The sequence below is a fragment of the Homo sapiens genome, chromosome 6 (genome assembly GCF_000001405.40).
Source record: "Homo sapiens chromosome 6, GRCh38.p14 Primary Assembly".
NCBI lineage: Eukaryota > Metazoa > Chordata > Mammalia > Primates > Hominidae > Homo > Homo sapiens.
Window position 1 is genome coordinate 135314632 of NC_000006.12, and position 26061 is coordinate 135340692.

At 38.8% G+C, this 26061-nt stretch overlaps 1 protein-coding gene, 1 long non-coding RNA gene and 1 pseudogene across 18 annotated transcripts in view, besides 3 other annotated features; 1 reads left to right on the forward strand and 2 right to left on the reverse strand.

Moving 5' to 3' along the window:
* Window positions 1–26061, reverse strand: part of AHI1 (Abelson helper integration site 1) — a 214209-nt gene that overhangs the window by 31100 nt on the left and 157048 nt on the right. For 12 of the 17 annotated variants that reach the window (XM_047418943.1, NM_001134830.2, XM_011535911.4 and 9 more), the window contains 2 exons: window positions 8531–8693; window positions 3888–3985 (listed from right to left, as the gene is read on the reverse strand). In XM_047418943.1, coding sequence (XP_047274899.1) covers window positions 3888–3985; window positions 8531–8693 — 261 coding nt within the window. Of the gene's footprint in view, window positions 1–1266; window positions 1410–3882; window positions 3986–8530; window positions 8694–26061 lie in introns of those variants that run through there. The other 5 variants (XR_001743480.3, XM_017010979.3, XR_007059277.1 and 2 more) reach the window with 5 other exon arrangements.
* Window positions 8215–8354: an enhancer, noted in NCBI's record as "active region_25105". NCBI's record gives its function as "activates an Ori minimal core promoter by ATAC-STARR-seq in GM12878 lymphoblastoid cells {active_cell/tissue: GM12878}" and the evidence as "EXISTENCE:reporter gene assay evidence [ECO:0000049][PMID:35858748]".
* Window positions 8696–8843: a transcriptional cis regulatory region, noted in NCBI's record as "LH13598/TSS87020/XLOC_042889 sgRNA range targeted for CRISPR interference". NCBI's record gives its function as "positively regulates MYB gene expression in K562 erythroleukemia cells {active_cell/tissue: K562}" and the evidence as "EXISTENCE:mutant phenotype evidence [ECO:0000015][PMID:27980086]".
* On the forward strand, window positions 8753–13334 carry LOC124901407 (uncharacterized). The gene is made up of 2 exons (XR_007059783.1): window positions 8753–8803; window positions 12655–13334. It is a non-coding gene; the product is annotated as an uncharacterized LOC124901407 (long non-coding RNA).
* Window positions 10000–10294: a silencer, noted in NCBI's record as "tiled region #12318; HepG2 Repressive non-DNase unmatched - State 24:Quies". NCBI's record gives its function as "represses a minimal TATA promoter and a strong SV40 promoter by Sharpr-MPRA in HepG2 cells {active_cell/tissue: HepG2}" and the evidence as "EXISTENCE:reporter gene assay evidence [ECO:0000049][PMID:27701403]".
* Window positions 16002–16937, reverse strand: BTRCP1 (beta-transducin repeat containing E3 ubiquitin protein ligase pseudogene 1; annotated as a pseudogene).

Sequence of the window (26061 nt, forward strand, 5' to 3'; positions counted from 1 at the left end):
TATTTGAAACTGATGTTTTACCAAGAAACCATTTTTCTTTCAGTTCCTTACAGCACAGGCTACTCATTCTCACATAGTTCATGGTTCTCTCATGAACCATGAGAGCCGGGAGTTAACAATGGCCTCCTCTTAGTTCCCTACTGCTGATTTTAGGGTATTGCAATGCCAAAGCACTTTTCCTTGGGTGCTCTGACACCTGGCTATTACATCTCCTGCTTATCTTTGCATCTGTGATCTGCAGACCTTGTGGTCATTCTAACACAATGGCTGTCAATATTGGCTGCACATTAAAATTACCTGGAAAGCTTTTGAAATCTGCCCTTGCCTACGTCCTATTTCACCAACTAAATGTATTTGAAGGGGTGGAGATTGTAATCCATATCTAGTTTTTTAACTGGTTTGGTGATTTCAATGTGAAGCCAAAGTTGAGACCTTTGTTCTAACCTAAGAATTAAGTATGTCAGCTCTTTGTTCATCAGTTTCCTCTTCATCCTAACTCTTGCTATCATCCTGGAATCTTAATGTTCAAGAGTACAACCTGTCCAACACTCTGGGTCCTAGTTCCTTGACCAGTTCAACTCTAATAACATGTTCCTCAATTTCACTTCAGCTTTTATACATACTTTATGAATTTATCATAACCTGAGCTGCCTGACATCTGAGATACTAAATAAGCAAAAGAGTTTATGGCCTTGAACTCTATAGTTCTAGCTTGGTGACTCCTTTTCCGTGTGATGCTATGCCTCTACCTGGGCCCCGGTAGCTTGCTGTAACCTTGTAGAGGAGAACGTGCTTTCTAACTCTGCCAATCTTCTGATTCTACGTCCTTTCCAAATGGATAATCCTCTATGGTGCATCACTCTGGTAATTCTTACCAATTCTATCAAGTCTCTCAACCTCTTGTGTTCCTTTCACATTCACAACTCCAATTATATATTAAACCAAATCTGCCTTCTCTACTGCTATGCCCTAGATGCTGAGAAGAGACTACTGAAGAAGAAAAAATCCAACTGTAGATTTATGCCACCTCCATTCTTATGGTATCCAAAAGAGCAGCTCCCAGAACTACTAAGAAATCTTTTTATATGTCCTAAATGAGCCCCTATTTTCCTTACTCAGATGGTTATTATTCTTCTTGTGCTCCTATCTCACTCCTTTGCCACTCGCATTAGAAATGAACCTTGCTTTTTGTTTTGGAGAACATAAAAATATCTTTAATTTCTAGACTTCAACCCTTTATTAACTTATCTGCATCCCTATCCACACTTACCTGTTTAGAGGGGCACTGCTCTAAGCTCCATCCTGTTGACATTTTTGGCCAGAGAATTCTTTGTTGAGGGGAGCTGTCCTCTGCATTCTAGGATACTGAGCAACATCCATGACCTCTGCCCACCAGTATTATCCCCCACCTTGTAGTTGAGAAAACAAAAAAACATCTCCAAACATTGCTAAATGACTCCTGGATGGCACAATCACTCTCACTTGAGAACCCTCTGCTTGGAGCAAGACTGATCTGTCAACCTGTCTTTCCAATAAAGTACTTCCTGCTTCCTCCAAGATCCACTGTGTCCTTGGTGTCCTTTCTTTATCTGTCTTCAACCTGAACCTGTCTATTGGCTTTGTCTCCTTAATATATAATTTTACATCTGTCCATTATTTAAAAAATCATTCATGGACACCAGACCTCCCTTTAGCCACTGAGGAATCTTTTTTTATTCTTCAAAGTGAAACTTTGAGAATGGCTTCCATGAGAGTTCACATGCTGAGGCCTCATTCCACCTTTACTCTGCTCTTTAATCCTTGCCACTCTATTGATACCGGTACAAAGCTACCAGGGTCCTCTTGATGACCAAATGCTTCGACAACCTAACTGCTTGGCTGTTTCCAACTATACTCTTCTTGAACCTCTCTACCTCTTCTGGCTTCCAGGGCACTTTTTTCTGTTTATTATTTTTTCTTTTTTTCCTTTTCCTTTATTCTTTCTTAATTTTCTCTTCCTTTGACTGTCCCTTAATACTAGTGTTTAATTAGGTTCTGTCCTTGGCCTTCTCCTCTTATAGCTCTATGACATACTTTCTGGGCTCTGCCTTCATTACAAGCTTCCACTTACTGATATAATAGAACTAACACACTAATTCTCATTTGATTTTGAAGCTCTACATTCTCTCAAATTCCAATCCTGCATTTCTGGCTCCCAGTGAATATTTCTATCTGGGAGCACTACAGATACTACTAACAAATTGAGATATCTAAAACTGAGCTTATCATATCTTACTCTGCAAGGAATGGTGATTCCTTTTCCCTGTCTTCCCAAATCTTTCTTATTTATTTCATTACTTCTATGGCACCACTATTTATTCAGTTGTCTAAGACCCTTAGCAAAATCCTAGATTCCAACTTCACTAATAAAATCCAATCAATCATAAAATCCTGTCAATTACAGCTTATGTCCCCTGACCTCCATCCCCCCTAGTTCAGGTTTTTGTATTTTATTTCCATGGATTCCTAATTTCCTTGTGCTAGGTCCTTAGCTACCTCAAATTCAGCAACTATTCTGCTGCACTAGAATGACCTTTCTAACATGCAAATCTGTTCATGTCATTCCCTGAATTACGTCCTTCAGGGGATCCCCTTCGTCAGGAGTATAAAATTTAAGTGTTTTAGTAGAGTATGCTACGCTCTTCTGTGGCCTGGTTCCTGGATTTCTCCTGTACTTCTCTCTATTAGAACTTATGCCCAGACATAATCATACCATCCCATAACTTACTCACGTTATTCCCTCTGCTGGAAAGGTTTTTCTAACTTCACTGACCTAACACATATTTTTGCATCCTAGATGCCTCAGGTCAAGTATTTCCTCCTTGGGAACTCTTCATGGACTCCCCCAGGGTATATTTAAGAGGCTTTCTTTGTATGTGTTCCCAATATACTGTGTACATATCTGCATTATAGTTTCTACCAGAGTCTACTGGACTTGCTTGCTTGCAGGTGTGTGCACCAGCCTGTAAGCAACTTAAGGGCAAGTGCCTTGCCTACTCCTGAAACTCCTGTTTCAGTGGGGATTAATAGAGCGCATGGATGAAGGCATTCAATAAAACATGCTGACTGACTGAATGATATACGTCAGGTTCAACTGTCAAAAAACTTTATTTTGACACTGTAATGATATGTACATGAAATGTATTTGTAAAAAAAATCTATGTTGGTTCATGGAATCAAGAAGCAGTGAGGTTATTCAGTGTAAGGGAAGAGCTAATTTAATATAATAAAACAAGTTTAGTAAGCAATATACATGATAGTACAGTGCTTATTAAACCTTTCTACCAAAGTACTGCTAACAACAGAAGAATACTGATTAATATCCCTGAAGGGTCTGATGACACAGACTAAAATACATGACATTTCTCTGGCTACTCTGGCTGGTAATACATCCACATTCATTTTAACGTAAAAACATTTTAAATTATTTGCAAGTAAAAGGAATGCTCCAGAAAGACAGAACTTCTTAATTTTGTGAACTCCAGTGAGCTCTAGCATAAATGTTTACCTCTCAGGTGGGGCTGATGACACTGTCAGTATCACAGTTAAAGAAATAAGTGCAGAGTAGAAACAGCACACCTAAAGCCACAAGTTCTACTTTGGGTCCTTGTCCCATCACTTAGGCTGTGACTTGGAGTCTACTTTAACCTCTCTGGGCCTCCTCAGTTTCCTTATCTGGAAAATGGCTATAACGTTTGCCTTATGTATTTCATAATGATGTTTGTACCAAGACATAAAAAATAATGTGAACAATGAAGGATAATAAGCATAAAAAATAAAGTAATATTTTATCCAGAGAGAGTGAAAATCAAAGTACATATGTAATACGTATGCTCAAAAACATTTACCTTTTGAGGAGCTGGAGATTTTTCTATTTTAGTTTTTTCCTCAGGGCTTAAAGGAGGGGATCGCTCCTTTATCTCAGGAGGCAGTTCTTGATACAGTGCTGAAATTGGAAAAAGGAATTCATGTAATCAAATTGAGGAGCACTGCTCCATGGGGGAAAAACAACGATGGTAGGGGCAAATATGAAATTAAAGAAATCGATATTCAATTCCTTGGTGTACCAATAAGATACCTAAAACTTACTTGTTACGGCAATTTGCAATTTTACTCATTAGTTATCAAAAGAACTATGATTGGAAAATTTTAATCATCTGGATTTCAGAAATGCAGAAGGTGTCATTTTCACTTATTATCTGGTCAGACAGATGCTTATTTTATTTTATCTCAATACACATTTACCAGGGACCTGCTAAATGCCAGGATATCTGCTAGGAACTGTTGGAGAACATATGGAGATCATCAAAAGATAGTCTTCATTAGCAAGGAGCTTACAGTCTGGTCAGAGAAAGACATGTTTACAAGTAACCATAAAATAAATGTGACATTATTTGAAAGTGAAATAATTACAAAGACAAACTCTGATGTGGGGATGGAAAATGCTTAATGGAAGAAGTGGTAGGTGTATCAGACTCTGAAGACTAGGTAGGATTTTACCAGTCAGAGGTACGCAGAAAAACTAATTTGGGGGCAGGGCGCGGTGGCTCATGCCAACACTTTGGGAGGCCGAGGTGGGCAGATCCCTTGAGGCCAAGAGTTTGAGACCAGCCTGGCCAACATGGTGAAACCCCATCCCTACCCAAAAATATAATAATTAGCTGGGCATGGTGGCGTGCACCTGTAGTCCCAGCTTTGGGAGGCTGAGGCATGGGAATTGTTTGAACCTGAGAGGTGGAGGTTGCAGTGAGCCAAGACAGCGCCACTGCACTCCAGCCTGGGAGACAGGGCGAGACTCTGTCTCAAAAAAAAGGAAATGATAATTTGGGAAGACGATATGAAATCAATAAGCATGGAGTTAGGACTATATATGATATTGAATCTATATACAGTGTTGAATTTAAGATTCTTACAATCCAATATTCTATATAATCTATTGAATCTACATAGGGTATTGAATCTAAAGAGCTATGTGCAAATTTTAAAGGGTTAAAACAAAAATATATTTTGGTTAAGAACATCTCTGAACTGAAAGAAATTGCTGAGATATACTTGATCAAAATTGTACAACTAAGATTATGAGATATACTAATTGTCTTTGTATGTGGAGTGATTTTATTATTGGGTTTATCTCATATTTTGAGGGTGTTAGATGTGATGGGGGAAGCTGATCATGTTGTTCTTTACAGTGCCTTAAGATACAAAGAGAGTAAGTTCCTTGTAACAGTGGGAGTACGAACTTCTTTTATTGTGTTGTTCTCTTAGAGGACAGGCTCTCTTAGAGTATCTGCTTGTATACTTCCTTAGATTCTGCTCTTATACTCCCTTAGATAATTCACTTTGCATAGTTGGCTTCAGATAAAGATCAAGGACAATTCTTCCTACTATTTTTAGACTAGAATATGCTACTGACAGTCATTTTTTTCTCTAATGTTAAAACTGGGCAATTGAGTTTTTTGTTAAATTCAGGTAAAAAAAGGATAAAAGGGAAAGGGAAATAACCCCTAATGAAGTGTGAGAGTTCAATCATTACAGTCGCAGATTTTTCTAAGTTTTTTTTTTTTGTTTGTTCTGGTCTATACAAGGCTTTTTAAAGCAGTGACTGATGCCAAAAGAAAACATAAATTATTCTGGGATACAATAAGGAATTATGGCAGTTGAAAGATGGTCATCATTGAGACAAAGAATTTATTTCTGTACGTAGCCATCAACTCATCACTGCAATATGCTTCAGAGGTCTGGCTTTGATCATCATGGAAGAAGAACAAATTTTATTAGCTTTTAAAAAAAATTTATCTTTTGTGGAGATGGAGTCTTGTTATATTGCCCAGGCTGGTCTCAAACTCTTGGCGTCAAGTGATCCTCCCTCTTCAGCCTCCTGAAGTGTTGGGATTACAGGTATGAGCTGCTGCATCTGGCCTCATTAGCTTTTTAATTCACTGTAGCTCAAATATCTATATCCTCTCAAGATCTGCAAGCCTAAGAGGTTATTTTTGTAAACTACATTCTCAAATTAAAGCACTTAATCCCACCCTGCCTAGAGATACACAAGGGAGAAAATTTAAAAAATATTTCCATTTGTACATGAAAAGAGTAATGGATTGTAATATTTCGTTAAAATGAGGCATACTCCAGAGTGACTACCATTGTGCCAGCAGCTCTTGATTTAAAAAGCTTGATTTAAACAGAAGCTACTCCTGTTTAACCTCAGCTGTTGACCCTGTGGGAGACCCAACAATGAGAAGAAGGAACTTGGCTATTTTAGATGATCTGGAAGTTAGAAGTGCTGAGCTTATGGAACTTATATGCTGTCTTATACCTACATGGGAATTAACTTGCCCTAAAATTTCTTCCTTTCATACGGCCTATGTTTTTTCCATTACACAACCTCTTCTAAACACAAAAATATACCTCTAACAGAGTTTAAGAGTTATGTGTCAAAATCAGCTGGGCATGGTAGCATGCCCCTGTAGTTCCAGCTACTCAGGAGGCTGAGATGGGAGGACTGCTTGAGCCCGGGAGGTCAAGGCTTTAGTGAGCCGTGACTGCATCACTGCACTCTAGCCTGGGTGACAAAGTGAGGCCCCGTCTCAGAAAAAAAAGAAAGAAAGAAAAAAAAAGTTATATGTCATTCACTACTTACAAGAAGGTAACTAAAACAGCTACACAGAAGACATTAAGAATTTTATGAGAGTGAGAAGTGGTACAATTTTTGAGACACATAGAACTTTTTAGGGGAGGAGTCTGCTGACTGTGGCAGATAAACTGAAGAAGGGAGCTGCAATGGGACTTAGGGCACTTGAGAGACTGGGGAGGGGAGCAATGGGAAGGACCTGGCTGAAGACAAGGTCGTGGGAAGGTGCCAAAGACAGATAATTTTATCTAGGCTTAGCCCAGCATCCGGTAATCACGAAGGAAATTCTTCCATTCCTTCATCTCTTTGGCTGTCAAAATTGAAAACTTAGGTTAGAATCAATAATATTTTTGTTTAGTCGTAGTTTTGGGTTAAACAGTTTCATGGACTAGCCTGAAAACCAATTATTATTTATAATAATTATTTCTTTGCAGAAACAAAAGACTTAAATATTCAAAACACAGATTGTTCTCAATTTCAAGGCTGCCTATACTACAACTTTTTTTTCTTTTTTTTGAGACAGAGTTTTGCTCTGTTGCTGGGCTGGAGTGCAGTGGCACGATCTTGGCTCACTGCAACCTCTGCCTCCCGGGTTCACGCGATTCTCCCGCCTCAGCCTCCCAAGTAGCTGGGATTATAGGTGCCCACCACCACGCCTGGCTCATTTTTTGTATTGTTAGTAGAGACAAGGTTTTGCCATGTTGGCCAGGCTGGTCTCGAACTCCTGACCTAAAGTGATCTGCCTGCCTCGGCCTCCCAAAGTGCTGGGATTACAGGCGTGAGCCACAGTGCCTGGCCCGCCTATACTACATTTTGAATCAGAACCAGAATTTTTGTGCTTACAGAAGAAAAGCTTACAGATAATATCATTTAATTCCTTCATTTTACAGAAGGTAACTGGGGCGTATGAGTGTAAGATGTTGAGCTGAGGTTAGAAGTCAGTTTTCCTGACCCCTGAGTGTTGTGCTTTTCCTAGCATGCTATCAAGTTAATTGTGGATAGAATGCATTCTTCTCAAGAAGCACTACTGTACTTCTCCCCTTTAATGACAGTTTTAAGTTATTATTATTTTTGTTTTCAGGCTCTCTGCGTTCGTTCTGTTTTCACCTCTCAAGGCCTAGTGGTGAATCTACAGCTTTCAGAAACTCATATTTAGATTTTCTTCCCTAGCTCTTTTTTTTTTCATTTTAAGCTATTATTTAATGAACAAAAACCATTATTAAAACACGAAGTAGAAATTAAAATACAAGAAAGGTTCATACAGTCTTGTCACATCACATGGTAAGTTCTAGGCTTTGTCAACACGTGCACATAACTTTTAAATAATTGTCATTTATCAACTTTGTGCTTACATATTTTCAGCTCTGGCTCATTTTTTCCCCCATAAATGAGGGCTAAATTTACTTGAGAATGAAACAACTTATTGTAGTTTTGTTTTCACAGGTAACCAGATAGGACTGAGGTATACAAAGTAAAAGAATGCAGTTGGGGAACTAGAAGCTCTTAAGATGCCAGTCAGCTGAGGAGGCACTGTGGCTAGAGAAGAACTGACAGAACTGTGCATGAGGCAGGTGGCAGGGTCAAATGAGTTGAATAAGAAAGCTGGTAGCTAGAGGGGCAGGGTCCCCGAGGATAAGAAGTCCATGAAACAAACATTCCAATCTCAGAATGGAGCAGCTTCTAATGTACTAGTGCCTCCTCTTTTTATTTTTTTACATCATGAGAATGAAAAACAATACCCATTGGTAAACATATGCAAAGGTTACAAAGACAGTAAATTAAAGACTAGAAAATGATAAAATCTTGGACTATCAGTTATACCATACTAGTAAACCAGGAAGGGAGCATAAAACTTACTTTCACTAGCCACATGATTAGCTGGAAAATAACCTTCCTGTCCCTTTCCTATGCTGCCATACCACCAGTCTTCATTATCTTTGAAAAACACTCGGATAATGTCTCCGCGATGGATGGTTAGTTCATCTGATCGATTCGCTGTGTAGTCATAAAGAGCCACTACCTAAGAGAGAGATAAGACCACCACAGCTTTATCACAACTGTACCACAGAGAAAACCCCCAACATTCACTTCCTCTTGCAGAAGAGCAGCTGAAACCAAAGCAGTACTTTGGTAAGTGTGAGGCTGTCTCAAGGTTTGCTAATGGGATGAGGGGTGGTGGGAACACAGCAGGAGAAGCAAGATAAAAGACTGTGGGATTGAGAAATGGTTACGAGCATTCAATACACTAAGATTAGCTTCAAAATAGCAGATGTTAATTTTTTAAAGTAAATTACTTGTGAAGCAAATAAAAAAAAGCTCACACACCATTTACTTTTTTAGAATTGTTTTATACTACCTTTATGTCTCATTCTCTGTGCTAAGCAGATGCATCTGAAAAAAAATTCTTCAGAAGGTCTACAGTTTTACAAAAAGGAAAAACTCAATGGAACAATCTGATTGTATTGCTTGGTTTACTGTTAATGTCTTTTTTTGAGATAAATTTCTCTACACACATACATATTTTTTGATGTTTTATATCAACAACTTAAGCCTTCTATCTTTAAAAAGTATCCATATAAGTTATTTTTACTTGATACGAATTTAAGAGGAAAAGCCTTTTCATGAGAATCCTCTTCTTTGTGTTACAATAATCATTATATTTGACTTCCTTTTCTTTTGAAAACCCAAGTCAAAATGATATGGCAGTGGCTGCACAGGCATTTAAAAATCCTTGGCTGGGCATGGTGGCTCATGCCTGTAGTCTCAGCACTTTGGGAGGCCGAGGCAGGAGGACTGCTTGAAGCCAAGAGTTAGAGATCAACCTGAGCAACAAAGCCAGACCTCCATCTCTATATAAAAAAACAACAAAAAAAATTAGTTGGCTGTGGTAGTGTGTGCCTGCAGTCCTAGCACTCAGGAGGCTGAGGTGGGAGGATCACTTGAGCCCCAGGGTTTGGAGGCTGCAGTGAGCTATGACTGCACTACTACACTTCAGCCTGGGTGACGCAGGAAGACCTTGTCTCTAAAAAAAAAGAAGAAGAAAAAAATCCCTTATAGTAGTTAAAGGCAGGAAGACCTCAATTCATTTTAGATTTAGATCTGATACACTGTATAAAGTAGGACATAATAACATCTATACTAAATAATACATTTATGCTGTTTTCCCCTCTACTTAAACAGTATCTGAAAATGTATAGGTTATACAACTACATATGTAATGGAAAATTACATATATAGTTATATATACATATATATATATATATATATATTTATAGCATGTCTCAGTGTGCACAGCACGTGAGAGTCCAGGGAAGAGAAACCTAAGAGTCCCATGTGGTGGGAACCCGGCATTAGACGTGAGAGCTGAGATAGAAGGTTAGGAGAAGCTGAGGCTCATGGAGTAAGCAGGGCTCAGATCATGCATGTTGATAAAGTTCAGACTCAATAATATGGCCAATGGAAAGGCACAGAAAGGTTTTAACCAGAGGATTCCATTACAGTTCACATAACTGTTTCTGATACCTTTTAATCCATTTAACAATATTTATTAACACATCAGGCAATTCTAACGAATGAGTTTGGACTTAACTGCTGTCACCATATAAGGGCAGTAATGATAATTTAATTCAACTGGCTCAAATGCAATGCCTATTGTACAGCTTAGCATAGTATCTAATTTACAACATGCGATGCAGGGTGTTATTTAAGGTTTACAAATTACAATTTTTTTTTTTTTTTTTGAGATGGAGTCTGGCTCTGTCGCCCAGGCTGGAGTGCACTGGTGTGATCTACACTCACTGCAACCTCCGCCACCCGGGTTCAAGCGATTCTCCTGCCTCAGCCTCCTGAGTAGTTGGGATTACAGGCGCCCACCACCGCGCCTGGCTAATTTTTGTATTTTTAGTAGAGACGGGGTTTCTCCATGTTGGTCAGGTTGGTTTCGAACTCCTGACCTCAGGTGATCTGCTCGCCTTGGCCTCCCAAAGTGCTGGGATTACAGGCGTGAGCCACTGCGTCCGGCCACAAGTTATAATTTTAGTATACTGATGTTAAGTCACTTACATACAAGCGGAACTTTAACTTTTCTCTTTGTTCTCCAAATTTCTCTTTCAGTCTCTTACCTGGTACTATCATAGGAGAGGAAAGCTAATTAAAATGTGCTGAGTGCTCACCATGTTCTCGATACCATGCTAGCTGTTTAGGTGTTATTCTGCTTAATCCTTATGACAACTTGGTCAGGCCATGTATCTTTATTTCCATTTTACAAAAGAGGTATTTGATGTCCAGAGAAATTTAGGAACTTCTCTAAAGTCAAGTAAACTAGTAAGTGATAGAATCAAGACTTAAACCCAGTCTCAATCTCTTTCCTTCCTTCCCTTCTTTCTTTCTCTTCCCCTAGTTCCAGGAAACTCTGTGATGGTTTGTTCCTGTTGTTCCTTATCCTGGGTGTGGTACAAAACACAACTTTAATGAGTCTCATGCAAAGATGAGATTAATGTATGCTTATTTGTCTGGAGCCCTAGGTGGCTGCTGGGAAGGATTCAGCTTAGGCAACAGAATCACTTACGAAATCCTACATCAGGCTGTGTCACTGTGTGAACCTCGGAAAGTCTGAAGCTTATCAAGTGAAGTCTGAAAAATTTTCCTGAATTTTACACACAGGGGTGTCTTGATAAAAGAATCCCTTCAGAGGCACAGGGGTCCAAAAAGCCTATGAGAGCCCACATTACACCTTTTCTATTACAGTACCTACTGATTATTCTCTTACAGAACCAAATACACACATCAATTTTGCATGGCCCACTAGTATCTGTAAACATGTTCTGCATTCTGTGACTGTTATGGACTGAATTGTGTCACTCAAAATTCATAGGTTGAAGTCCTAGCTCCCAATGTGAATGTATTTGAAGACATGGCCTTTACGGAGGTAATTCATGTTAAATGAAATCATAGGGGTGGGGCCTGGATTAACAGGACTGGCATTTTTATAAGAGGAAGATACAGTGAGAAAGTGGCCATCTGCAAGCCAGCAGGAGAGGCAGTAGGAGAAACCGACTGTGCTAGCACCTTGATCTTGGTCTTCTAGCCTCCAGAATTGTGAGAAAATAAATTTCTTCTTCTTCTTCTTTTTTAAAAAAATTATTTCAATAGCTTTAGGGGTACAAGTGGTTTCTGGTTACATGGATGAATTGTACAGTGGTGAAGTCTGGGCTTTCAGTGTACCTGTCATGTAAATAGTATACACTGTACCCCACAGGTAATTTTTTTTTTTTTGAGACAGAGTCTTGCTCTCTTGCCCAGGCTGGAGTGCAGTGGCGCCATCTCGGCTCACTGCAACCTCTGCCTCCCGGGTTCAAGCTATTCTCCTGCCTTGGCCTCCTGAGTAGCTGGGATTACAGGCACCCGCCACCATGCTCAGCCAATTTTTGTATTTGAGGTAGAGATGGGGTTTCACCACGTTGGCCAGGCTGTCTCAAACTCCTGACCTCAGGTGATCCGCCTGCCTTGGCCTCCCAAAGTGCTGGGATTACAGACGTGAACCACTGCACCTGGCCCCCGACAGGTAATTTTTCATTCTTCATCCCTCTCCCACCCTCCTTCCACTCTTCTGACTCTCCAATGTCCATTATACCTCTCTGTATGCCTTTGTGTAGCTTAGCTCCTACTTTTAAGTGAGAACACGTAGTATTTGGTTTTTTGTTCGTGAGTTACTTCACTTAGGATAATGGTCCCATTCCCATACAGGTTGCTGCAAAATACATTATTTCATACTTTTTAAAATGGATGAGTAGCAGTCGACATACATATACATAACACACTGAGAAAATAAATTTCTGCAAAACCACCCAGTCTGTGGTATTTTGTTAGGGCAGCCCTAGCAGGCTAGTACACTTTTAAACCTGATGGTGTCAGATGAACCACTTACTACCACCCCAGCCTAAAACTACAAATGTGTAATGCCTCACTTGTATCCATTTCAGGTCCTCAGCAACTTACAGAACCGTTTTCCACACTATTAAGCTGTCATCTCCGGATGTAGAAATGTCTTTGTCATAAAACTCTACAACCAGCATCCTTGGGAGGGTGATGACTGGTGAGGCTACGTTCTCTAAAGCAAAGAAATTGGAGCATGTCATCGTAATACCATTGTTGACATTCAAGTACACGCAGACCTCATTTTATTGTATTTCACAGTGTGGTGTTATAATATGTATTATGTTTCTGTTTGCAGGTCCTGGTTCATAACTCCCATATCCCTTGTTACAGTTTTTTGGTTTAATGGTGGGTATGTTAGGCCTTAGGGGCAGGCCTCAGAAAACAGAATGTCTCTGATCTCCTTCTGCTCTCCTTTTACCTGCCCCAAGGTAGGGCTCTAATCACCACCCCCTACCTTTCTGACTGTAGGTCTTATGAGCAATCAGAGGGTCCTTCCCCCCTCTACCCTGGAGGAAGGAATGCTGATGTCGCGGAGCTTCCACAAAAACCTAAGAGGACTGGGTTAGCAGAGCTTCCAAATAGCTGAACAAATGGAGGTTCCAGGAGAGTCATGCCCCAGGGAGGTCAAAGAAGCTTCCCCTCCTTCCTTCATAGATCGCTCTACGTATCTCTTCATCTGTTTCCTTTGCAACATGCCTTGTAATAAATCAGTAAATATAAGTAAGTGTTTCCCTGAGTTCCATGAGTTACTCCAGCAAATTAAGTGAACTGGAAGAGGGGGTTGTGGGAACCCCAACTTGAAGCCGGTTGGTCAAAAGTTCTGGAAGCCTGTACTTGTGAATGGTGCCTGGGGTGGGGGGCAGTCTTGGGGACTGAGCCCTCAACCTGTGGGATCCGACACTGTCTTCAAGTAGAGGGTACTAGAATTGAATTGGAGTACATCTAGCTGGTCATGGAAGTCTTCTGTGTTAATTGTGGTGTGAGAACACAGTGAAAACATGGTTGGAAAGTTTTTCCCAAACATGTAGATACTGCATTTTTTTGCCAACTGAAGGTTTGTGGCAACCCTGCATTGAGCAAGTCTATCAAGGCCATTTTTTTCCAACAGCATGTGCTTACTTGTGTCTGTGTGTCATATTCTGGTAATTCTTACAACAGTTCAAATTTTTCCTTTATTATTATATCTGTTATGGTGATCTATGATAGGTGATCTTTGATGCTACCAATGTAATTCTTTTGGGGTGCCATAAACCATAGCCATAGAAGACAATAACTTAATTGATAAATGTTGTGTATGTTTTGATTGCTTCACCAACCAACCTCCACCCTCTTACCCCCTACCACCAGGTCTCTCTCCCCTTCTCCTTGGGCTTCCTATTCCCTGAGATATAATGGTATTGAAATTAGGCCAATTAATAACTCTATAATGGCCCCTAAGTGTTCAAATGAAAAGAGTTGCAAGTCCTTCATTTTAAATAAAAAACTAGAAATGATTAAGTTTAGTGAGGAAGGGATGTAGAAAGCTGATAGAAGCAAAAAACTGGCATTTTGTGCCAAACAGTCAAGTTATGAATACAAAGGAAAAGTTCTTGAAGGAAATTAAAAGTGCTACTCCAGTGAACACATGAATGATAAGAAAGCAAAACAGCCTTATTGCTGATATGGAAGTTTTAGTGGTCTGGATAGAAGATCAAACAAGCCACAACATTCTCTTAAGCCAAAATCCAATTCAGAGCAAAGCCTTAACTCTCTTCAATTCTATGAAGGCTGAGAAACGTGAGGAAGCTACAGAAGAAAAGTTGGAAGCTAGCAGAGGTTGCTTCATGAAGTGTGAAGAAAGAAGCCATCTCCGTAACATAAAAGTGCAAGGTGAAGCTGCAAGTGCTGAGGTACAAGCTGCAGCAAGTTATCCAGCTCTAGGTAAGATCACTAATGAAGGTGGCTATACTAAAGAATAGATTTTCTCAATGGAGATTTAAACAGACTTATATTGGAAGAAGATGCCGTCTATGACTTTCATAGCTAGAGAGGAGAAGTCAATGACTGGCTTAAAAGCTTCAAAGAACAGGCTGACTCTCCTGCTAGGAACTAATACAGCTGGTGACTTCAAGTTGAAGCCAGTGTTCATTTGCCATTTCAAAAATCCCAGAGCCCTTAAGAATTATGTTAAATCTACTCTGTCTCTCCTCTATAAATGGAAGAACAAATCTAGATGATAGCCCATCCATCTACAGCACAGTTTAATGAATATTTTAAGCCCTACTGCTTTGTGACCTTCTGCTCAGAAAAAAAGATTCCTTTCAAAATATTACTTCTCACTGGTCTACCAAAGAGCTCTGATGGAGATGCACAAGGAGATAAATGTTGTTTTCATGCCAGCTACAACAACAACCATTCTGCAGCCCATGGATCAAGGAGTAGTTTTGACTTTCAGGTTTTGTTATTTAAGAAATGTATTTCTTAAGTCCATAGCTGACATAGACAGTGATTCCTCTGATGAATACGAGCAAGTAAGTTGAAAACCTTCTGGAAAGGATGCACTATTCTAGATGACATTAAGAAGATTTGTGATTCATAGGAGGACATCCAATTGTCAACATTAACAGGGGTGTGGAAGGTTTATTCTGACCCTCATGGATGACTCTGAGGGTTTTAAGACTTCAGTGGAGGAAGTAACTGGAGATTTGGTGGAAACAGCAAGAAAACTAGAATTAGAAGTGGAGCCTGAACACGTGACTGAATTGCTGCAATCTCATGATAAAACGAATGGATAAAGAGTTCTTTCTTATGGATGAACAAAGAAAGTGGTTTCTTCAGATGGAATCTACTCCTCGTGAAGATGCTGTGACTCTTGCTGAAATAACAGAGGATTTAGAATATCACATAAATTTAGTTGATAAAGCAGCAGCAGGGTTTGAGAGTACTGAATCCAATTCTCAAAGTTTTACTTTGGGTAAAATGCTATCAGACAGCACTACATGCTACAGAGAAATCTTTTGTGAAAGGAAGAGTCAATCGATGTGGCAAATTTCATTTTTGTCTTATTTTAAGAAATTGCCACAGTCACCACAACCTTCAGCAACTATCAGTCTGGTCAGTCAGCTGCCATCAACACTGAGGCAAGACCTGCCTCCAGTAAAAAGATGACTTGCTGAAGGCTGAGATGATCATTGGTATTTTTTAGCAATCAAGTATTTTTTTCACTAACGTATGTACACTGATCATTTAGACATGGTGCTACTACATACTTAATAGACTACAGTAAACATAGTTTTAAACATAGTTTTCTATGTACTGAGAAACCCCCAAATTTGTGTGGCTTGTTTCACTGTGATATTCACGGTATTGCAGTGGTCTGGAACCAAACCGGCAATATCTTCAAGGTATGACTGTACAGAATTGCTACGCAATGAGGAATCAGGGTGGTTTCACATGCTACCATCTGTCCACATGCCGGCAGCCGAATCTAACCATTCAGTTAGGATTATTCCCTTAACACACTGAAGGACAAAAACAGCGTGGCTCACGGGAATCTGCTTGTATTTCAGCGTTTTTATCCAATGTGCTGTGAACTTCTCATATGAAGATCACTTACTGTCTTCTGATCATCATATTGTATGTAGTAAACTTCTTTGCTTGTGTTAATTTGGCAGTGGATTGTGAGTAAATCATAACTTCCCTATGTCCAATTAGATTTTATTATTTCAATATTTTATAATAAATTAAAGTTCTATAAAGCAGTTAGGTGGCACAGTCCTATCCAGAGGTTTGTTCTGAAGTAACAGTCTATTTTCTCCTTGTTCAGTCAGGCATCACTATAGAAATATCTTTCTTGACCATTCTTTTGATGAGTGTCTTTTATAACATACCATTTCTTGCACCCTGTGGTTTGGCATGTAGGAGAATATCTTCAGCAATATGACTCAAATCTTGAGCTGACAGAGTAATTAAGAAATCTTTCTGTGACAGAAGTTTAAAGACACGAGCTAATATGTCCATCTTGGTAATGACAGGACTAGAAAAAGAGATGTTTCACAAAATCCACGTGGTCAAATTTTGACCACTGTTCACATATTTGAAATAGAGTTCTTCTTTTTCTCAAAGCTTGAGGGGTTGCTTGGTCATAATCATGGTCTCAGTGTCACTGGATTGGCAAGTTTTGTTTTTTTGACACACTATTTTCACTCTTTTCCAGCACTGCTGGAAACACCATTTCTTGATTTAGGCAGAGTCTGCCAGGCTGTTGTAAGACATTAGGGGAATTCCTTTCTGTATTATCTTTCAAGGGATTAAATATTATTATAGTGGTCTCTGAAGAATTCTCAGTGACGCCTGGTCAATGAAACCAGTGTACTGAGGGAACACCAACCAGTAGAGTTCAGCAGCATAGCTGTTCCTTACAGTTTTATCCACAATGCAATCCAATAATTGATGTTCGTAATACCTCCAAGTCATTCGACAAGCTAAGCACTGAATAAATTCACACGCTTGAGCACTTTTTCCTTCAGCCCTACTTCAATTGGGCCCATAATCATTTGGGAACTTCTCTGTGCCAGTCTAATAAGGCAATATGGCATCTGGATCCCACCACCTTCTTTATGCTTTCTCCTTGACTAACCTGATTTCAGACTCCGGGCTTCCAGAACTGTGAATGAATAAATGTCTTAGGTTTTAAGCCACCAAGTTTGTGGTAGTTTGCTACAACAGCCCTAGGAAACTAATAGACACGATTTTTACTTTGGTGAGTGCTGGATTTTCTTCTATTTCTTTAAAGAGTGTTGGACCTTGGTCTGGCATGCCATTACTTGATATCCGTTTTCAGGTTTAGGTTTTTTTTTTTTTTTTTCAGACGGAGTCTCACTCTGTCACCCAGGCTGGAGTGCAGTGGTGCAGTCTTGGCTCACTGCAACCTCCGTCTCCCGGGTTCAAGCGATTTTCCTGCCTCAGCCTCCTGAGTAGCTGGGATTACAGGCGTGCACCACTATGCCCAGCTAATTTTTGTATTTTTAGTAGAGATGGGGTTTCACCACGTTGGTCAGGCTGGTCTCGATCTCCTGACCTCGTGATCTGCCTGCCTCGGCTTCCAAAGTGTTGGGATTACAGGCGTAAGCCACCGCTCCTGGCCCAGGTTTAGGTTTTGATAGAGCATATTCAGAGAAGACTTTACTCTAGGGATAAATTAACCCCACTATCAAGGTGTGACCTTCCTGATGATTCTACCTGATGCCCCAGGTATATTGAATATTGAATAAAAATTACAAGCCATTGGACTAAGCTCCTGAACTAGGCCCCAACAGACCAGACTAACAATCAAAATGAAGTCACTCGTGCTGAAGTTCTATGTCATCAAACCAAAACTAACTTGTTAATTCACCTTCCAAGAAATTGGGAGAGAAAGAGAGCCAACTTCCCAAACAGGCCAGTTTAAATTTCCAACCAGTATGGTAATGAAGCTCCCTCTGTTTTAATCTTGACAACAAAAAGTAACCTGAAGTTAACCAGTTATTCTTCTGTTATTCTGTTTTCCTTTTCCTGATATACAAGGAAAGGAACTTTAAAAAACCAATCTGCTCTTTATTCTTTGTTTCTCCCCCCGTTCCTTCTCTGTCTATAAAACCAACTTCTTTTGCTCAGCTCACTGGAACATATATTCTATTTTATGGAATGAAATGCTGCCCCATTCTGGCAAATAAGCCAATTAAGATCTTTAAATGTATTATAATTTTGTCTTCTGACAGAAGGTTTATCATTCTGGCTATCAGAAATGCGAATTTTTGCCATCCTGTTGTTGTGTCTTCTACTCTCTGATGGTCCTTTTCTTACGAAGTTTTGCTCCACACATGTGCAGATCAGCACTCAGCCAAAGACTTCAGGGTACTCCTTAGGATTACTGGTACAATTATTACCATTTAATATAGAGCCAAATATAAAGTAATATTTTAGTAATTATTTAAAAAGTGAAATAAAATACGCTTTAAGAAAGTCTCATTTCTCAATAATGTCAAAGATAAAAAATATTTGTAGAAAACCAAATTTAACAATAAATCCTGAATTGTACAGAAGCACATTATTAAATATTAAAATGCTTCCTTTACTAATAGTGACACTAGGACTATATTTTATTTCATAAGAGGAATAAAGAAACATATAGCCCTATTTCTAGCATCATGTGGTAGAAACATACAGTCCCTTACCATTATATCCAGGGACAACCCTAAAGATATTTATAAAAAAGAAATCAAGGTCCTATTATTTTTAACTGATCTTATCTGGATAATAATAGATTAAGAAAACAAAGATAAAGAAAGTAAATAATTGCACACAGTTTATTGCCTCTGTATCAGATAAATGATCTGTTCCTATCTTGCTGTATAATGCAACGATAAGTGAAACTTAAAAACTTCAAACAAGCATTTGAAAGCATTTAATTCCAGATATCTTCTGATAAAATAATGACTAAAGGTGTTGGAAAGAATACCAAACTAGAAATCAAGAGAATGAGTTTCCAGTCCTGTGTAGGCCTCCAAGGTTTAAGTACTCAGATTATATATCTGTAAAATAAGAGGTCTAGACAAGATGATATATGGTATACCTTCCAGCTTTAAAATTTTACCAAACTAAGTACTCAATTATATCAAAAGAACAGCATTCATAGATTTTAAGGTAAATTGAAAATATTAATTTATTGGATAACATCATAGCTTTATTGTTTGTGATCACACATTAACTGAAAAAGCTTTTGTCTGATTGCTGCAATAATATATAGGAAAAGCCTCTTAGTAATATTAGACAACAATAACGATAAAGCATTTCCTCTGAATTCACCATTTGGAAATACTTTTCTTATTCTTTGACAAATAGGGATGACTTTCCAAGTTAGACTGAACTTGACCTTTGGGCTTCAAAAATAAAGCTACTTTACATGTGAAAGCTCATTTTTATATGATGGTGATATCATCTGAATGTTTGTGCCCCTCAAATTCATATGTTGAAACTTAATCATCGATGTGATGATGGGGCCTTTGGGAGGTGATTAGGTCATGAAGGCAGGAATGGAATTAAAGCCCTTACAAAAGAAACCCCAGAGAGCTTCCCTGCCCTTTCCACTTGTGAAGACACAGCATGATGATGTCATCTATGAACCAGGAAATGAGCCCTCATCAGACATCAAATCTGCCAGTCCCTTGAGCTTGGACTTCCCAGTCTCCAGAAATGTGAGAAATAAACTTCAGTCATTTATAAGTCACTCGGTCTATGGTATTTTGTTACAGCAGCCCAAACAGACTAAGACAATTGGTATGAATTAAACCTTTTCTTACTGCGAATCACAATTCACATACTTTATTATAAGAAATAATCGGTATTACATTGAAAAAGTTTCTAAAATAACATCTTTTTATTGGCTATTCCCTAAAAATAAATCAAGAGAATTCTGCAGACCTTTATACATTGGACTACAGATTTGTTAAGAGAAGAAAAAATCATAGTGTATTTTCATTTTCTTTCTTGGGAGGGATAATCTGCTCACTATAAAAAGAAAATTATGAATCACTGATTTAGATTAGGGTTCTCAAAACGTATTCCCCAGACCTGCAGCAGCAACATCACCTGGAAACTTGTTAGAAATGTAAATTCTTGGGCCCTATTCCAAATCAAGTGCATCATAAATTCTGGGGATGGCCCAGTAATCTGTGTTTTAGCAAGTCTTTCAGCAATTCTGATGTACCTAACGTTTAGTTAATACTTTATTTTACTGGTCTACTTTATAAGACATATATACTTATTTCTGCACATATCAAGTAGTAACTGAATGGGTAAGAAAGATAATTTAAAATATAAAGTCGAATCTTAGAATGTTACTGGCCAAACTTACGAAATTAACCTACTCTTGCTTTCTGAGTTATTAGCTTTACTTATCTTGCTTAGTTTCCCACATGTCACACTGAAATGCTCACTAGCTCCAGATTTGGTCAATTTAACATCTACTTTGTCATTTTTTTTCAACAATCTTATGCTCAAACTGCAACTAGGAGTATAGTATATAATTTTTAGGTTTCCTTACAATCTCTTAAAGATTAGCCAAATTTTAAAATAGAAAAATATGCAAACTTTAAAAATTGAATCTGTTCATCCAACAACAATCATCAGTTACCTATTATCAAATCTCTTACAGGCTAAGGAGAGAATAATGAATAAAAGAAATTTAAAAAAAAAAACCACTCTCAGAGAGCTTCCATTTTTTGGGATGTTACATTGTATTTGGTTTGGTATTCCTTTTCAAAAAAAAGGGTACCTCTAACATTTGTACAAGTTACTCTTCTGTTTTTCTACTTTTATGTTGCTAATAAATAGTACCAAGGTGCATGCAGATATATAATATTAAAATAATAATTTGTGCATGAATTATTTCAGAAAAGTATAATGAATTATTTTAAATTCTCTTAATGAACTGTAAGCTGTAAGCAAATGTAAAATTACTAGTAATAGACACAGACAATATTTTTAAATGAGAATAAATCCAAGTATTTGTAAATAACATCCTACTCATGATTTACAGATACAGTTTCATTAGTTATAAAACATTTTAGAAATATATAAACAGGACCGGCGTGGTGGCTCACGCCTGTAATCCCAACCTAGGTGGGTGGATCACCTGAGGTCAGGAGTTTGAGACCAGCCTGGCCAACATGGTGAAACCCCATCTCTACTAAAAATAGAAAAATTAGCTGGGCGTGGTGGAGCACGCCTGTAGTCCCAGCTACTCAGGAGGCTGAGGCAGGAGAATCACTTGAACCCAGGAGGCAGAGGTTGTAGTGAGCCAAGATCGCACCACTGCACTGCACCCTGGATGACTAGAGCGAAACTCCGTCTAAAAAAAAAAAAAAAAAAAAAAAATTCCATATTTATAAATACAGACATACACTACATAATAACATTTCAGTCAATGACGTACTGCATATATGACAGTGGTCCCATATGATAATGGAGCTGAAAAATTCCTATTGCCTTCTTACATTATAGCTGTCATAATGTCACAGCACAATTAATTTTTAAATAAATTTAGTGTAGCCTGGGCTGGGGGTGGTGGCTCACACTTGTAAATCCCAGCACTCTGGGAGGCTGAGGTGGGCGGATCGCTTGAGTCCAGGAGTTCGAGACAAGCCTAGACAACATGGTGAAACCCTGTCTCTACTAAAAATACAAAAATTAACCAGGCATGGTGATGCATGCCTGTAGTCCCAGCTACTTGGGAGGCTGAGGCAGGAGGATAGCTTGAGCCCTGGAAGTCGAGGCTGCAGTGAGCTGAGATCATGCCACTGCACTCCAGCCTAGATGACAAAGTGAGACCCTGCCTTTACAATAATCTCCTGTATCTTATGAGATATTCTGTTTCTTAAACATCTCATTTAGATGCTTTAATTTTATTCAACCAAGGTTTTAGAACTCATTAGCTCTAAAACAATCATACAGACCTCAGTTGGGTTTTCTCTCAGCATTGATGTTCATTTACTGTTACTATTAATCATCTGATACATTATAGACATGCCTGTGTATCTGTCTAGATATATTTAGGAATATAGGTATCTACCATTTACTTAATGCTTGCTATGTGTCAGGAAGGTGTTAACCATTTTATACTATACATATATGTGTGTGCACATATACACACACACATACACATATATTCATAACTACCCCATTTAGTATTTATCATGCCTTAGTTTCCTTAACTATAAACTAAAATAACTGTTATTTTTAAGTTACACAGTTTAGCAGAATAGAGATGTAAGCAAGTCTGCTTTTCTCCCACGTCTATGCTCTTCTTAATCACTAGACTTACATTATAAGCCCTCATGGAACCATGGGAACACAAACCTGCTTGGTTCACTGCTTGTCACTTTCCTTAAAATTATGCCAAAAAAAAAGGGTCTTAAAGACTTGGCATTTCTTTATTAATAATGAAGACACCTGAAGAAGATCAACAAAGTACTTTTCTTCATACTAATTTCTCACTCACAATTTGTTGAGGCCACCAAACAAGCAAGCTACATGGGAAATTGAAATTAGACCAAGGTGGCAGCATACATGTACCACATACACATATATGTATATATTAACATACATACATATGTACACATTAACATTTCTGTCCATTTGGTTACTGAAGTTGGTATTTAGGGTGCAGGAAATTACTAAAATGATAGAAGAAAGTTACTGTGGAAAGGCTGTGAAGAGGCCAAGTGCAGTGGCTCATGCCTGTAATCTCAGCACTTTGGGAGGTCAAGGAGGGAGGATCACCTGAGCCCAGGAGTTTGAGACCAACCTGGGCAACAAAGTGAGACCCCTATCTCTACAAAAAAATTAAAAAAATCAGCTAGGTGTGGTGGTGTGCATCTGCAGTCCCAGCTACTCAGGAGGCTGAGGTAGGAGGACTGCTTGAACCCAGGAGGTCAAGGCTGCAGTGAGCCGTGATGATGTTGCTACTGCACTCCAGCCTGGGTTACAGAGTGAGATTCTGTCTCAAAAAGAAAAAAAAAAAAAAAAGGCTGTGAAGAAATCTTGAGTACTAAAATTAAATGAGAAAGAGGATAGCCAGATATCAGTAATTAACTGCTTATTTTACTAAAATACCGAGGCTTATCTAATTCCAAAGTCAATCCAAATATTCTAGGAGAAGTTCGCGTACATGCATATGAGCATTTGGTTTATGGGGAAGAAGATAAGGATATAATAAGAGAAAGGATAATGAAGAAGCATAGTAGAAAACATCCCTGGCTGGGCGCGGTGGCTCACGCCTGTAATCCCAGCACTTTCGGAGGCCGAGGTGGGTGGATCACCTGAGGTCAGGAGTTCGAGACCAGCCTGGCCAACGTGGTGAAGCCCTGTCTCTACTAATAATACAAAAAAAATTAGCCGGCATGGTGGCGCACACCTGTAATCCCAGCTACTCGGGAAGCTGAGGCAGGAGAATCACTTGAACCTGGGAGGCGGAGGTTGCAGTGAGCTGAGATCGCACCACTGAACTCCAGCCTGGGTGACAAGGGTGAAACTCCATCTCAAAAAAAAAAAAAAAAAAAGAAAGAAAAAGAAAAGAGAAATATCCCTGCGTTAGCACGTTAGCATATAATTCTAATTGTGATACATAAGGAAATGTAGACAGTTGATTAGGGGACTCTAAAACTTATCAAAAAGCATTTTCAATGGCTAAATAGAAAGTAGCAAATAGAATCTTCAGAAACAAATGGAAAACTCTGAGCTTAAGGATAAATGAGTAAAGGGGAATCACTTCCAGAACAGTGAAGCAGTGAAATGGGCTCCTCCAACAATGCAAGAACACTGGGATTAACTGTCAAAATCAACTTTATCAGAACTCTGAAAACTAACTAAAGGCTTGCAATAATCTCAGGAGTGTGATTTTAAGAATAACAGCCAAATAACAGTAAAAACAGCAAGCTTTGTGGAATTTTAATTTTCTCTATTCTTATCATCCCCTTGCCAACTCCGTGGTATCCTTACAAGTCAACAATCTCACAACTATGGCTGCTGTGAAAACTAGCAGCCTAGCAGTTACTAGACAGGGCAGAATGGGTCTGGAGCACCTCTAAAACCCAATCGCAAAGAAATGTCACTTTATGACCTGTGTAGCAGCTCCCTGAAAAGCTCCATTCCCAGAGCTCATCTTTCCTTTTTTTTTTTTTTTTGAGACCCAGAGTCTCACTCTGTTGCCCAGACTGGAGCGCAGTGGTGCAATCTCGGCTCACTGCAACCTCTGCCTACCGGGTTCAAGTGATCCTCCTGCCTCAGCCTCCCAAGTAGCTGGGATTACAGATGCCCACCACCATGTCCCAGGGCTCATCTTTTTAAGATGTGACTCACAGCATGCTGTGAATGATTATATCCCTAGGGCATTTGTCAAAAGCAATTAATGGTAACTGTTTAACACTGCACCTGCCTTAGGTGGTGATATGAGTTAGGACTAGAGAAATTAATTTCCAGTTTGCCACATTATATAATCTCAAATATCCTCTTATCAAAAAATTACGAAACATGCAAGGAAAGAGGAAAGTATGTCTCCATATGGAGGCAAAATAGTTAACAGAATTGCTTCTGAGAAAGCCCAGATGTTGGACTTACTAGACAAATATTTTAAATACTATTATAAGTATGTTCAAAGACCTAAAGGAAACCTTGTCTAAAGAATTAAGAGAAAGTATACATGTACCTCACCAAACAAACAAACAAAAAATCAATATAGAGATATAATTTTAAAAAACAAGTGAAATTCTGCAGTTGAAAAGAACAATATTCACTAGAGGGACTCAATAGTAGGTATAAACTGGCAGAAGAATCAGTAAACTTGAAGATAAGTAAATTGAGATGATTTAGTCTGAGGAACAGAAGGAAAATAGAATGAACAAAAATGAACAGAGCCTCAGAGAATTATAGGATGCCATCAAATGTACCAACATATGCATAACAGGACTCCCAGAAGAAGAGTCAGAGAAAGGGGAAAAATGACCCCAAACTTCCCAAAGTTGATGGAAAACATTAATCTGCACATTGACAAGCTAAATCAACTCCAAGTAGAATAGATTAAAAAAGATCCATATCTAGACAAATCATGGTCAAATGACTGAAGGCCAAAGATAGGATCTCAAAAGCAACAAGAATAAAAAACTCATCACACAGAAGTGATTCTCAATAAGATTAACAGTAGATATCTCATAAAAAAATGTGAAGGCCAGAAGTTAGCGGGATGATGCTTTTGATATTGTGTTGAAAGCAGACTCAACCAAGAGTTCAAACCATCCAGCAAAACACTCCTTTAAAAAAAGAAAAAAGGAAGGGGCCAGGTGCCGTGGCTCACGCCTGTAATCCCAGAACTTTGGGAGGCTGAGGCGGGTGGATCATGAGGTCAGGAGTTCAAGACCAGCCTGACCAACACGGTGAAACCCTGTATCTACTAAAAATACAAAAAAATTAGCTGGGCGTGGTGGCACATGCCTGTAATCTCAGCTACTGAGGAGGCTGAGGCAGGCGAATTGCCTGAACCTGGGAGGTGGAGGTTGCGGTAAGCTGAGATCGCACCGTGCACTCCATCCTGGGCGACAGAGCGAGACTCTGTCTCAAAAAACAAAAACCAAAACAAAAACAAACAAAAAAAAAAGGAAGGATAAGCAGTGTCCTGGGTTACTGAAAAAATAAATTAAAAAAAGGTGAAATAAATACATTGCAAGATAACTGATAATTCAGAGAGTTTGTTGCTTGTGGACCTGCCCTTCAAGAAAAACAGAAGTCCTTCGGACTGAAATGAAAGAGCACTGACAGTAACTAAAATCCATTTAAAGAAATAAAGAACACTGATAAAGGTAACTACACAAAATATAAAAACCAGTACATATATATACATACATACATATATATATATATATATATATATATATATATAT